This window comes from Homo sapiens, chromosome 5, assembly GCF_000001405.40.
Source record: "Homo sapiens chromosome 5, GRCh38.p14 Primary Assembly".
NCBI classification, from domain to species: domain Eukaryota; kingdom Metazoa; phylum Chordata; class Mammalia; order Primates; family Hominidae; genus Homo; species Homo sapiens.
Window position 1 is genome coordinate 94,862,698 of NC_000005.10, and position 14,440 is coordinate 94,877,137.

Consider the following 14,440-nt stretch of genomic DNA (forward strand, 5'->3'; position numbering starts at 1 on the left):
TTATATGTAATGCACTATGAAAGGCAATGCTTAGGAAAACCTAATTTACAATTTTTCATGTAATTTTGGACAATGTTTGAAAAAAATTTCTTCTCCGGAGTTGAGATAAATTGGGCGAAAATGTATATTTTGAGTAGCAATTTGATGTACTAGCATGTCCAGATGAATTGGGTGCACAATCTATTTACTGAAAAGAAAATTGTGGTACGAGAAACTTCTAAGTGTCAATACTTCTTGACTCTGCAAAAGGAAGTTAGGGCAACCTTAAAAATATATATCTTTTAAATCAGTGAAATTTTATATAGGTTTTCTTCTTCCCTTACTTGCACATTTGTGAGAAAATGTTTAACGTAGCTTCTAAATCTGTATAGATTAAATTGGAAGTATTGTTTAGTAAGCTTAGTAGGTGTGTATGTCAGAGGAAACATACATGAAGAAAGATGGGCAAAAAGGCTTAGGAGTTTATATTTACAAAATTTTAGGGAAATTCATGAATATGACAGTAAGACCACCAATTGTAGATCATTTTGGCTTTGTACTTGTTTCTCTGGTTTTCAGGAGTACTTCTCTTTTGCTGTTGTGTAGAAAGTAACAAAAGTTACATCTAGAACATTTCTAACGTTTCTGCTAGCGCTAAAAAAAAATTGTAGCAATAACAACAAAAACTCTTCTATAAAAATCATTTGAAAATTGCCATAGACTTGAAGCGTAATTTCATTGCTGTGGTAGTACTATTGTCTCTTAAATTTTCAGAATAGATATTTCTGTTATAAACTTAAAGTGACCTTCAATATGTTCAATGTAATTATCCTACATTTCATTGTGCCTTAATGTGAATATTAAGACTTAAACTACAGGTGATGTAGACATGCCTTTGTTTTCACATTGATACTTCTTCTTAAGCAATTCTCCCTTTTTGATCCTTGATCACGAAAGACACTTTAGATGTCCTTACGGTTTGTAATAACTTTTTAAAAATCCATATGTTGTTTAATAGCAGCAGACTTTCTGCACGAGAAGGAAGTACATGATAAGTGTACTGTAGGAGCCTATTGTCTTTGGTCATTATTACATTCCCATTGCCTCTGCAACTCCAGTTCCTCCTCCTTTGCTGTGCTTCCTCCACTTTTTTTTTTTTAATCATTTGGCTATACAGAGCTGCCTCATGTCATTCTTTGCATACAACATCTTTGTTTTTTCTCTCTTCTGCATAATGGCCCAGCTTTCTGGGAGTAACTGTTGTCCCGAATATGATCCTTTACTAAAATAGGGATTGAATAAAGGTGGAGCACAAATTATCTGGAAGCAAAGGAAAACTAGGCATTTCAAAAGGACCCAGAAAAAAACAAATAATGAACCAGAGTGGCTTCGATGAATTGCCATAGAAGGAATTCTTGGTTTTGACACAAAAGGAACACATGAATACCAAGGAAAACCTAGGGAGAGAATCTCAGTAGGAAACCTGCCTCGTAGGCTGCTCAGGACAGAGGGCTGAAGCCAGTAGCCCTCCAGATATGAACAGAAAGAAATGTATTTTATGACTAACAGTTAAACATTCAAACATGCCGTTTTTGGAACACAAGGTACTTTGAGGAGTTGACATCCCTTCATAATTCATGTTCATTGTTCCTCTAAGTAAAATATGTATCTCCCTTTAGTTATTCTGTTAGGAATTGTACTTTAAAGGCAAGAGGACATTTTTGATAATGCACATCTTAAGATGTTTCATTAAAGTACCAAATTTAAATTCTACCTTTTTGTGCACTCTGACATTTTTGTCTGGCATTTTCATTAATTTTGCGACATACATAAATGTAGCTGAAATGTTAACTGATCAATACTTTGTCTCTCTCATGTAGCACTAGCGCTCCGTTCCCCAAGGACTACACAGCAGAACAGAAATTAAATGTGTAAAATATCAAATGTTAATGTTAAACACAGCAGCACTTACTGTATAACGACAGAAAAGGCTAAAACAATTCCAAATGGACAGATGGTACCACAAATTATCTACAATCACATTTAAAGATTAAAGTTTGTCCTGTAAAATAATTCTTTGACGCACACTGAAGTGTGTCCTTTTACTGATAGCTCAGTTGTCCAATTATTTTTGTGCTCATTACAGTGAGAAATGACAGTACTGAAAAGAAAGAGAAAATGTGCACTCTTTCTTCCCCCATGTTGCACCCACTGACATCCACAAGAACACAAATGTCTAGTCAAGAGCCTGATGAAAATTAGGCCCAATTTATGAGACATTTCCATGTCTACAATAGATGATTCCCCAAGACGAGCAGTGCCTTCTGCACCACACATGTCTGTGTTCATTCTTAGGCAGACAATATTCACAGTAAAATTTTAAAACCGAATGCATTGCACACAAAATAAGCACACGCCCAGAAACGTATCTGCTTATATTTTATCCATCACCTTCCAGACCAATGCCTGTCTCTAATATCATCAGCTGGCTTTGACTCTTCCCTGTGGCACAGAGGTAGCGTTAAGGAAGCTGGAGCTGTCCTAAGCCTGCATTTCTTGTGCTCTCTACTTCAATTGACATAGGGATTAAGAAAAAAAAAAGATTGTTTTTTACTTTTATTTCATTATTCTACATTTATTTTTGGATAGTAAAGTAGAAAAGAAAAGTTAAAATAGAATAGAAAAAAGGCACTTAAACATTATAAAGTTTACTGACTTGGGCCTAAAACCAAGCCACATAATGATAGAAATGCCTGTGCTCTGTGAGGCAGTGGCATTTATAAAAAAGTGGGCCAAGTAGAACCGATATTATGATAATAGACCCATGATCCATCAACAGGGCATGATGGGAACAATGTGTTTGTAATAATGGGATACTGCTCACACCCTTCTCCTAATGGAAAGCTGTTCTTTTCAATAAACAGGGCTAAAATGTCTCTAGTTATACAATGAAATCTTTGAAACATTTCATTTTTAAATATATAACTTAATATCTACAAGATGAATAAATATCCCAAGTAGTTTTTGTTCAGAGCTGCTGTGATATTAAAATTACAAGGTATATGTATTTTAAAAGCTCTTTTAGAAAGGAAATAATATCTGCTGTGTGGCCTTGGGCAAGCTACTTAACCTTTCTGTGCCTCAGTTTCTTCCTTCTGTATATTGGAAAACTAACACTATCTACTTCATAAGGTTGTTGGGAATATGAAATTCGCTAATGCATGTAAAACAGTTCCTTGACACATAGTAAGTGCTTAACAAATATTAGTGGTTGTTTTTGTCATTATTGTGGAAGGATATTTTTATATTAGAACTTAATCAGAGGTTAGAATCAATGATTGATAAGGAATTATGAAGTAGTTTAGAATATAAATGGAAACGCCAGGAAAATTTGCTACAATAGTACTAAGCTATGTTTATCATGATTTAATAACTAGCTTCCTTAGAGCAAACCCTTATTTATCTGGCATCATTGAAGAATGAGTTTCTCCACATAAGAAAAAATTTCAGATTAACTGATTGGTTCATAGATTGGTCAACTGATTCTGTCAGCTATTTATACTGGGAGCTTACTAAGTGCTAGATACTGTGCAGATGAAGCTGGAGTACTAGGCTAAAAAGGCAGGGTTCCCATTCTTATAGAACTCCCAGTGCAGGTCTAATAAATGACATTTGATTTTGTTATTAGTTGTTTTAATCACATTCAACAGAATGTGATTCAGAGCTTCTTTTTTCCAGCGAAACACAGGTAATATTATGGGTTCTTCTCCAAAGTACTCTTACTCTGTTTTCACATTGTAGTTTGTGTTCTCTTTTTTCACCATCCGTGTCAGCAGGCCCCTTCCCACCTTTACTATGCCTGATTCCCTCTTTTTTTTTTTTTTTGCAAGCCTCTTGCATTCAGCTTGTGTTTCACAGGACTGAATCCATCAGACACTGACTACCAGCTAAGAGAACTATTATTACATTTCTTCTCCAGTGAAATTTGACCCCCTTACAGTCTTACAGTCAAATCACTCAAGTAATATCATGTAAATGTACCTAAGTTGTTCAGAATTCCAGTGCCTGAGTTTTTTTTTTTTAGAATCAAAAGGAAATTGCAAAAAAAAGGCTGCCATCTTGAATTTCATTTTACGCGAGTGACCTCCAGAAGTCAGAAGTTTATGAAGACTTACACAATACACGTAAATGCTAAAGTGTTCAAAATGAATGTTGCTGAACAAATAATACAATTATATGCATTTCTGGTCTTTTCAAATTTTACAAATAGCTGTGAGGAATGATTTTGGAAGGAGTGAATCAAAAATGGCAGCACGATCTTTACAGGACAATTTTTTTTTGCATCTGTTATATGACCCCATAAAACCTGGAAGTAATAGTCTAAAATAGACATAGAAGCTCAGTATCATTTTTTCTCATCAATGTAAAAGTACCTCCTGGCTAGGGAAAAATCAGAATAAAGTTTGCTTAATAGTACCACCATATATTTATTATAAGAAAGAGCTACAAAAAGAATACTGAGAGAGACAGAGAGAGAGAGATTTTTTTTCTAAAACTTAACGATAATGACAATTGCTTTCTTTAGGGAGACAACAACACGTCTATGGGAAGCAGGCTGCCTAACTTTCTGGTAACTTACAACACAAAGGGACGTAGACACTCTTTGTTCCATGTGCTCAGACATTAATGAAAGTCCCATACAAGGCCTGAGAGGAAGACAGAGCTCAAAGTACTAAACAGATGTGCATACACTCATTTGAATGGTAATACTAAAATGTTGATTTGTTACTATAATTAAGGCTCTTCTTGTAAGCCCCCATAATAAAGTCGTATTCTGCTAAACTGGCAACTATAAGGAAGCATAAGGTACTCATATTTGAACAAACATGAAAATAAAATAAAGGATTTCAAAAGAATGACTCTACTTAAACTTCAAACTGAAATCCTGAAAAAGCCAAAATAATGTGAGAGAAGAAAATCCCAGCTAAAGCTCAGAGCAAAGTATTCTTTTGGATTTTCTAGCTCTGCCAGTTGGTCTCATCAGAAGTTTTTAAATAATCAAAGTAAAAGGCCACAAGATGAACATATTAAAGGACTCTTTGGATCTATCGAATTCTCACTTGTGACTTTTAAAAGCTAGAAATCTCAGAAATAATAAAACATCTCTTAAATAGGTCACATCCACTTCCAGTTGAATCACATGTTAAAGCATTACCAAGTAGCATTGGTAGCATTCTACTACCAATGATTTTCATATCTTGAAAAAAATTAACTATAGGACAGATAAAATCAAATTGAGAATGGTCGAGATTATTACTATTATTATTTTTCACATGGAGGACTTTTCTTGGCTGTCCTATTGGGGTTTGGAATTATGCAATATGTAAAATTTTACTTTTTAACTGTCACAGAGAAAATGATACATTGGCTGAGATGTCTTGCGTTCCGGAAATCTGAGGGGGGAAAATGTATTCTTAGACTCAGACCTTGTACAATCCATCAGGTTCCTGCCCACGGCAAATCTGTCCAGTCAAGTCTTAAAATAGGAGTTTTAAAATGGCCACATCAACATAACTGTTACTATAGCCACAGAAACATGCAGCTATGATTACTGAATTTAATGAATAACAATGTAAGTAATACAGTATGATCATACCACAAAAGCAGCGAGACTCCTTGGGGGTGAATCCCAATCAAAGCAACTATTAACGTAGTATGCAGCATTTACCAGCACCATGACACAACGTTTCATTCTGATAAAGTTTCTTAGTAGCAGCTGTAAGGAAAATGAAAATATTATTATAATTTGCAAGACTAAAAACCATCAGATATACTGCAAAATTCTTCAAGCTTATTGTGACTTAAAAAGGATTCAGAAAGTTAATAAAGTTACAAGAAAATACCAAACAATTTGGCTCACAAGTTAAAGAATTTATTTCTGAGAAAGTGGAAAGAACTGCCTTTTTAACTAAATACAATTTTTAAAATAATGTTAACATGTAGGTTGGACTACCTTTGCTCACAAGAAAAAAAAATTTCTAACAGACTAAAATTTTTTTTTGTTACTTACATACTATGCACCTTTATTAATTTTAAACTCTTAAACCTTATTGTGGTTTTAAGATTGATCAAATGGTTTAATTTCAAGACATTTCAAAGTGAAGTTGGAATGTTTTTATTTAGGGTCTTATAGAAAAACCTATCCAGAATTGCTTTTTTATAGACAACAAAATGTCTTCACCATTTTAGTAGAATTCCTCCCATTCTTACTATCATATTATCTATCTATCTATCTATCTTCTATCTATCTATATCTGTATCTCTCTCACAATAAATTTAACCTATATTTTCTCATTATTTTTTCATAGTTTTGGAAGTAGGGAAAAATATATGGTAACCGAGTGCTTTACAAAATTTCTTATTAAAACGAGTATAGGAAAATTGATATAATTAGAAATTAAAATTTAAAATTAAGGCATGACTACAACTGTAAAAAAGAATAGCCCATGTATAATTTGATGGTTCGAAAAATTACCACAGCTATATTAATAATTAGAATAATTATATGTCTGCAAGTTAACATTTTGCTACTCCCAATATACTTCAACGCTGATCTGATATTTTAAGGAAGTAGCTATGTAAAGTTTACTGAGGTCATATGGAAAAAATATATATATGGGCAAATATACATACATGTATGTGCATGCCAGTTTTAACAAGTGGCTAAAATTGAAATTCCTTGCTGGCAAAGTAGAGTCTATCTCTTAGTTTTCCTTCTTTGCCCCTATCACCTTACATTAAGAACTACTTTTATTACTTTTATGTATAATTGTGGTGAAATGTTATTTACATTTCTACTTAGATATTGCATTTGTAACTCACACACTTCCTTTAAACCACCAAATACTCCATTGTTTTGCTGGATTTATTAAGAGTAAAAATATATTTAGGCTTCTAATATTACAAAAATTATTAAATATTTCAAGGCATAAATATGTTCAGTAAACATTTTAGCTGTAACAAATACATTTTAGTTTAGTTCTGTGAATCAGATGTAAACGTTTTTAAAAGGGGTGGTTTAGCACTTTTTAAAAACTTAATATTAAGCCTAATTTAAAATTATAAGCAATAGATATCACGCTCAATTTAAATTCCCTTCATGATAGAAAAATCATATTTCCTGATTCTAACTTTCTTAGCTAAAAATAATAAAAGTTTACTTCTGAAAGATCATAGTTAAAATCTAATTAGCAGGAAGGTTTCCCTTAGAAGATGGAGCCTCCTCGCATCTGGATTAGAGGGAAGAGCTTATACTGGGCTCGCTTTACACACACCTGCATCATACCTGTGGGTGGTCTGGACATATATTTGTACCTCAGCTTTTGGTGTTCTCATTTACACATTCCATGGCAATCAAATTGCATTTTATGTTCAAAATGATCATTCTTTTGCTAATGCATGAATACATATCCATTATATGCATCACCTACAGTATCCCCTTTCCTTTCTGACCACCCCCATCCAATTTATTAGTTTGGTATTGTCCTCGTTTGATCTTTTAAAGAAAGGAAGGAAGAAAGAATCAGAAAGAATGAAAGAAAGCGCCATTTTCAATAAGTAGATGATCAAAAATTCCAGTCTTCCCCCCTCCATACCTTTAAAGTTTATTTGAATTTACTTAGATGTTTTACAGATATAATCAGGTCTTCCCAGAGGGATTAATCTTTTCTTGCTTTTTACCTGTTTAGAGAGTCTGTTTTCCTCTTCAATGTACTTCTGTTCTTTGGGTATTAATGTTCGTAAGCTGGCTTTCACCTATACATCAACATATGTGTCTGTTATGGATTAATATATTACAAATGTTTACAAGTTTTTCACGCAGTTCAATTTGCAATAATTTCTAAAGTTTCAAAGTCCTGGCTGCTGTGCTCATAAAATATAAATGTATACAGTTGCACATGCATGCGCTTCCCTTTCTTATGCCGGTAGACAGCGGCCAGAACACAACCGCAGCAGCATTCGCCAACTATAACAGAAAGTGTGGGTGTGCCAGGCAGTGGCAGAAGCGTATTCTCCAGGACACATGAAGGTTTAGAGAAAATGAGGAATGACAGAAATTCTCTACAAATCAGGAACAAAAGCTTTCATGAAACTGAACTCTTTAGCAGTACAAAAAAGCCAAAGTTAAGACTTACAGCATTAAAAATCACATCTATTTCAAGATAGATGACCCCCTTTGTTGGCCCTGTCAGCTGCTTGTTTTTCAAGACGTAGGCTTTCTGTTCACCATTTTGAATCTGCGGGAAAAGGACATGACAGCCGTCTGTCTCGCGGTCTCTACTGAATACACTCCCTCAGTGACCTTTGACCCCCAGCTGCTGAAACTGACAGAGAACCCAAAACAACTGTGGCAATTCTGACAAGTACCTGTTCATTACCAGGATCAAGTCTGTCAGGAAAAATTAACTATCATGGGATTCAACATGGCCGTGAATTGAGTATGTTAAAATTTTTAGTGTTCTTATTACAGACCTTGGTTGAGAAATGACAGACACAGAGCTGAGAGTTTTCTTTTCTTTTTTTTTTTTTCCGTGAGCAAAAGCAACACAGAACAGTGTGTCAGGTGAATAAAACTTACAGACAGCAATGGTATAGCAACTTTGCCCAGAAAGTCAGCACTTCGATCCCGATCTTCATCATAAACTGTCACTTCAAGAACTGAATGGATATCTTTAATGTTGCTGCATAATAAATATATGTAAGAAAAAAAGATTTCATCAGTAGGAAACAACAACAAGAATAGTTTTGAAAATTTAGATAGCTCCAGCTGATTTTGTGTGTGTTTGTAAGCATGCTATTTGCATACACACATATACAAGGTAGCTTGGTATCTGACAGAATTTCCCATAATGCACCTAAGTCAACTATAGTGATGGTTCTATTATCTGTAACTTTAAACACCTTGTAATTTCAAGTTATCATTTTTTAATGAAATATAATTTCCCATCTGAATGGGCACAGAATAAGTTATTTAAAAAATCAAGAAGTAGCACTGGTGGTTTTTAGACTTTCCCTTCTTCTAATTATCACAATTCATACCTTCCCATTATCCCTACATAAAACACCACCAGGTTTGATATCAGCAAAAGTTACAGTATATTTTATGTAATTACTCTTTTTTATAATAATAGGACATCTCCTGTTTGTTTATAGCTCTCACTAGATCATCGACGTAGTTTCTGTTAGATTTATAGTAAAAATTAACAAGCACAGAAAACAGAATGGAGAAAATGTAACATATAGTTATTGTACCACCCTGGAATTTAGAAATTAAGCAGGGTTCCATTATGTTCCAAAGACAACATATGTTAATAAACGACTGCGTGAGCTCTTCATATTTTTATTTCTGGAAAATAAGTGCAAATTGTTGACAGCATTTATTCTTTGATCAAACTGTTTACCAAGAAAACATGAATTAAGAGAAAACAATAAAGTGAATATATTCATTACTGAAAAAATTGCAACCATATGTGAGGAGAGGCTTTATCAGGGCACAATCAATTAATGGCTTTGATAATAATCAAACCTATTCATTCAGTTACGCATTCTGGAGAAAAACACTCTCCGCAATCTTCTTAGGAGTACAAGTCTCCTGACCAGGCTTTTATCTCTTATAAAAATGTGGAATTCCTTAAAAATAAATTGGCCAGACAGTTAAAGCTGATTAGTTACCGGTTCTTAAGCAGAGACATAATAAATTGATGAAGAATTTCGCAGTTTTTCATATACAAAAAAATAGAATTATGTTAGAAAACTTTAAAGAAGTACTTCTGTTTGGAGAATTTTCCTTTGTTCAGAGTTCATTTCAAAAGCCCTGTTTAAAAAACCGAACTTAGGAGTTACTATAGTGTAGCATTGGCAGCTTTTACAGTGTATGACTGAAAAGGTTTACAAACTTTCTAAAACAAAAGGAAAATTAACTCATAGGGTATTTTGGTATCTAGGACAATACTTAATATTCTCATTGTGCTAAAATGAAAAGAACCAAAACTAAAGCATCTGCCGAATTCGAGACTGGATTGTTTGCTGATTTCAGCAATGGAACAAATAGAGCTTTGTCTTCCTTGGTGTCAATGCAATTGGAAAGAATTTCAATAGAAAGTATAAAAGGAAGAAGCGGTATGGTGATTCAGTTAATGGAAGCAAAATCCTTAGCCAAATCATATAAAAAGCACAGTTTCAAAAAATGTCTGTGAAAACAAAGAAAAATGCCATACCCTTTCCCCCAGGTTTCACTTTCAGGAAGGTAGGAGGAAAATTCATTGTTGTTAGCAAAGGCAGGCCAGATGCATTGAGTTGTGAATCAGTTAAGAATAAACACACACATTTTTTTTAAAACCCTCAAAAATAAATCAAATTTAACACAATTTTGGATTCAGAGCCCAAAGAAATGCCTACTTACAACGTGAAGACTTTATTCCACTCAGGATTGAGATTTTTGTAGACAGTATGTGTTAGCAGTCTATCGTTGTTCAGTTCTACCACACAAAATGGGTCACTTTTTCCTACAAGAGATTTTTGGTAAATATTTTTAGTGTACATAGCACCCACAGTTCACAGTGTCAAGATCATGACCATATCTCTTTTGCAAAAAGTTTTATAGTAAACAAAAAAGTGAAGTACAATTTTAAAAATTAAAAAAAGAAACCACCATCAAAATAGAGTTAGATGTAACTGGTTGATGTTAGCAATTGTTATGATTCATAGCAATTTAGAGCCTGAAAAAAGTAAAAGAGACAAAATTATATAGCTGGCACTTCAATTTGCAATTTTTTAAAGCAAAAATAATTCTATAACCGGCAATTATGATGGAGAATGTGATGCATGTCCATCCCTAAATCAGTTTTTATAGAAATCTGTAAGAGCCGTTTGAAAAGTTCAGCCCCTTCACTCTAAGGCATATATTTTTTCAACTCATCTGATTCACTATTAACTTGTAACAGGGATTTCTAATCAAATTTATTCAGGAAAAACTACTATATTGCAAAATTATAATATTTTAATTGGACTAAGATTGAGTTACTTTCTTCTGAGATATCTATGACATCACAAGAAGGTAAATTAGACCCTCTGAGGCAGAAAAAAAATCTACCATTTGAAACTAAACATCAACAACCAATATGCATGTTAAAGAGCAGTATTTTTTTTTTTTCTATTCACTGAAAATAAAGGGTTTAGAAATTATCATCTGTTTATAACAACTCTGTCCTGCCATACTCAAATCTCATCCTTTCGGCAATTACATTTTGTGAAGTCCTTAATATTTTTGTAATGTTATGCCCTGTATTATAAGAACCCATAAAGTCAGAGGCTCTATGGGGCCAGCATTAATGATATTAGTGCAGCATGTAATTTGTTTGATACCTTATACAAATGACAATGAAATCAATATTTAGACAAAGCTGTCCAGAGGTCATATCTTTTAAACTACAATATTGATTTAGACTACATAAGAGGTTAATGTGCATATTATTAACTTTAATGATAAAGAATAATTGTTTTAAATGCATTGTGAATTGTAGTCACAGTAGTTTACACTTCTGCAAAAGCTTAAATATCATTGAAGATTTTCTATTAAATTTTAATGGGAAGGAATTCATTAGCTATCAGTGACAGATAAGCTATGTATTCCCATACAGCAGTGTATTTACTTTCCATATTGCAATTCTTAAAATGAGCTGTACAAACTTTGACTCACCTTTAATTTATTAACTTTATATTAAAAAAGAGATTTAATATGTGTGTGTTAGTTCAGTGGCCTTATATGTCCCAGGATAACTGCATAATTTAACATCATGGTAGTCTTCTCAATTTTGGGTCTTGGGAACAATTTTAAATAAAGAATAGAGAACTGGAAGTCTTAAAGGTCTGGTGAAAATTGTACTTCTGGCTTAGGATCTGTATTATCTTTTTTTCCTCCAATCGTCTTTATCCTCTTGCCTACATGTTACCACCCTCACTTTCAACTCACACACCCCATGGAAGATAGTGTTCAAAAAAGAATATTTTGTTCATTAAAACACGTAGCAATAGGTTTTATGTGGCACATCAACAACTTTATTTTCTCCCACGGAATTCAGATATAAGCATAAACAGGCAGATTCAAATAGTTTTCCAAATAGAGTTAAATGTAAGATACTAGGCAACACCTTTCAATATAAGCGTGCCACATCTTAGGTAGGTAGTAGGTCACACGCATAGGAAATGCTGGGTAATGTTTTGACTGTCGGTTCAATCAACTAACAAATATTTATTACTTACCATGTAGCAGGCAGTGTTCTATTTGTTGGGGAAACAGCAGTGAATTAAACAATTTTTTAAAAATCCCTGACTTCATGGAGTTTACATTGAAGAAGAAGACAGACAAGAAATACATTTTATAGTATCTTAGAAGGTGATAAATACTATGGGAAAAAACAAAGATGGGAAAGGTAAAAGGGAGTGTTGGTATGTATATGCAGTTTTTAAAAGGGCTGCAGAGAAAGTCGTGCTAAGACAGTGACATGCAGGCAAAGAAATGAAGGAGGTGAGTCTTGGGTGACCCAGAGGAACCGACAGTGGAAAGACCAGAGAAGTGGCTGTGCCAGGCATTTCCAGGAATATCCAGGAAGCCGGTGTGGCTGGAGGAATGTTCTGGGGAGATTGGACAGGTGGGGGGTTGGAGGGGTGGTAGTAGGTGACACAGACAGGTCTGGAGATAGTGGCAGGTCTCTGAAAAAACTTGGCTTTAACTCTCATTAATGGGGGAGGTTTTGAGGGATTTGATTTGAGGAGTGACATGCTCTGATGGCTGCTATTTGGAAAATAAGGTAGAGAAAGGACAATGGAGGGGTAGGAAGAAGAGTTAGGAGGCAATTGCAATAATCTAGGTGGTGGAACGTGGTTAGATTCTGGATATATTTTGAAGGGAAAATCAACAGGATTTGCAGATGTCAATATTTAATCACCTAATATACCCTCATATTATTATTTGACGCTGAAAAACAATTCACTGAGCTTAGCCAAGTCAGTTCTTTTTTTTTTTTTTCCAAGGAGAATAAGCATTCAACAAGGTGCTCAGACTAGATATTTCTAGAATCTGACAAAGAGGAAAGTTTAGGTTAAGGAGAAAGCAGGCAATTTTATGTTTACTTTTCTATTCATCTTTTCCTTTTAAAAAGTTCTCTTTTTACAGTTATCATTAATGGATGCTAACATCAGGTCTTTCCACACTATGTTATGTTTGACTTATTTAGGAAGTATCCTCCTGTCACTGCATGATTCAAGGGCAATTAAAAATTAACAGCAATTTCAACCAAAATACTAGTAAATGTACAACATCAAATTCTGCAAACTTACCACTAAAAAGCATGGACTATAGTTGTATTTTTAAAAAGTGACTACACATAGTTAATATGCTTATCTGGTTTGCTAAATAATCCTTTAAATGACTGGCTTTTCAGACCTAAATTTTACAGCTTTGATTATCTGCCACTTAAACAAACAAAACCAATCAGAGAAATACTAGTGATGGACCTAACCATTAATTATCTCCTTAATTATTCCTTCCTTTCATCCTTTTATCATTCCATTTAGGCCCTCTGATAGGCTGCTCTGCTTGCTGGGAGTACCTGGGTTGTGGGGTTGATTCTAGGATGAAGTTGATGTCTCTAAAGTGCACTATATTCTGCAAAGTTCCAGACAGTGGTATAAAGAAGTCCTCTGTAATGTTTTTATTCAATACCGTGTGGCTAGAAGTGCAAAGAATGAAGGCAGCATCCAAAGTTGAGGGATATTTTGTTTCTGATAATTTTTGAGAGCCTAAATATATGAGAACACAGATTATATAATCTATTTTTCTCTCTCTCACTCATTTTTGTCACAAGACTAAAGCAGACCAGTGGGTATCAAATGGCTCTTCCTGAAGCCCCATTATTTTGGCTAAAAAGAGTCAATCCCTCTCCCTAGCAATGCTAGAAACTGGAGAATTTGGTTTGGATAGAAAATAGAAATGGTGGCAGTGCTGGTTGAGGGCAGGGGCTGTGGGATTGATTGCTTTAACCACCATGACAGCTAGGAAGGAAATCAGCGTTCCTTGAGGACACGGCAATTTTCCATGTTGACAATTTTCTAGAGAGAAATAGGAATGCTTTTTGAAGCATTCATTACTTATCGAGTGGCTGCTCTGCTCACCCCAGAATTATAAGTATGATTAAGACATAGTCCAGCTCTCAAGGCATGCACAGTTTAGAGGACATGATAGACATGTAAATACACAATTATGAGGCAGAGTTGTAAGGGCTGTAATAAAGGTAAGTGAAGGGTGCAACAGGAGCAAGGAGAAGGAGGCATGCTATTCTATAACTCCAGAACATAAAGAGGGAAAGGAAGCAAAGACTTTTCCAGTGGCTATGACTCTGGT

General features: G+C 34.3%; 1 protein-coding gene across 56 annotated transcripts in view; it reads right to left on the minus strand.

Annotated features, from left to right (window-relative positions):
- The window catches only part of MCTP1 (multiple C2 and transmembrane domain containing 1), a 581,405-nt gene that overhangs the window by 159,008 nt on the left and 407,957 nt on the right, over positions 1–14,440 (minus strand). For 53 of the 56 annotated variants that reach the window (XM_047417718.1, NM_001393537.1, XM_047417715.1 and 50 more), the window contains 5 exons: positions 10,442–10,544; positions 8,618–8,720; positions 8,175–8,276; positions 7,720–7,794; positions 5,636–5,755 (listed from right to left, as the gene is read on the minus strand). The exons of 1 other annotated variant lie outside the window; for it this stretch is intronic. In XM_047417718.1, the coding sequence (XP_047273674.1) occupies positions 5,636–5,755; positions 7,720–7,794; positions 8,175–8,276; positions 8,618–8,720; positions 10,442–10,544 (503 nt within the window). Of the gene's footprint in view, positions 1–4,446; positions 4,686–5,582; positions 5,756–7,719; positions 7,795–8,174; positions 8,277–8,617; positions 8,721–10,441; positions 10,545–14,440 lie in introns of those variants that run through there. 2 more of the 56 variants (NM_001393549.1, NM_001393550.1) reach the window with 2 other exon arrangements.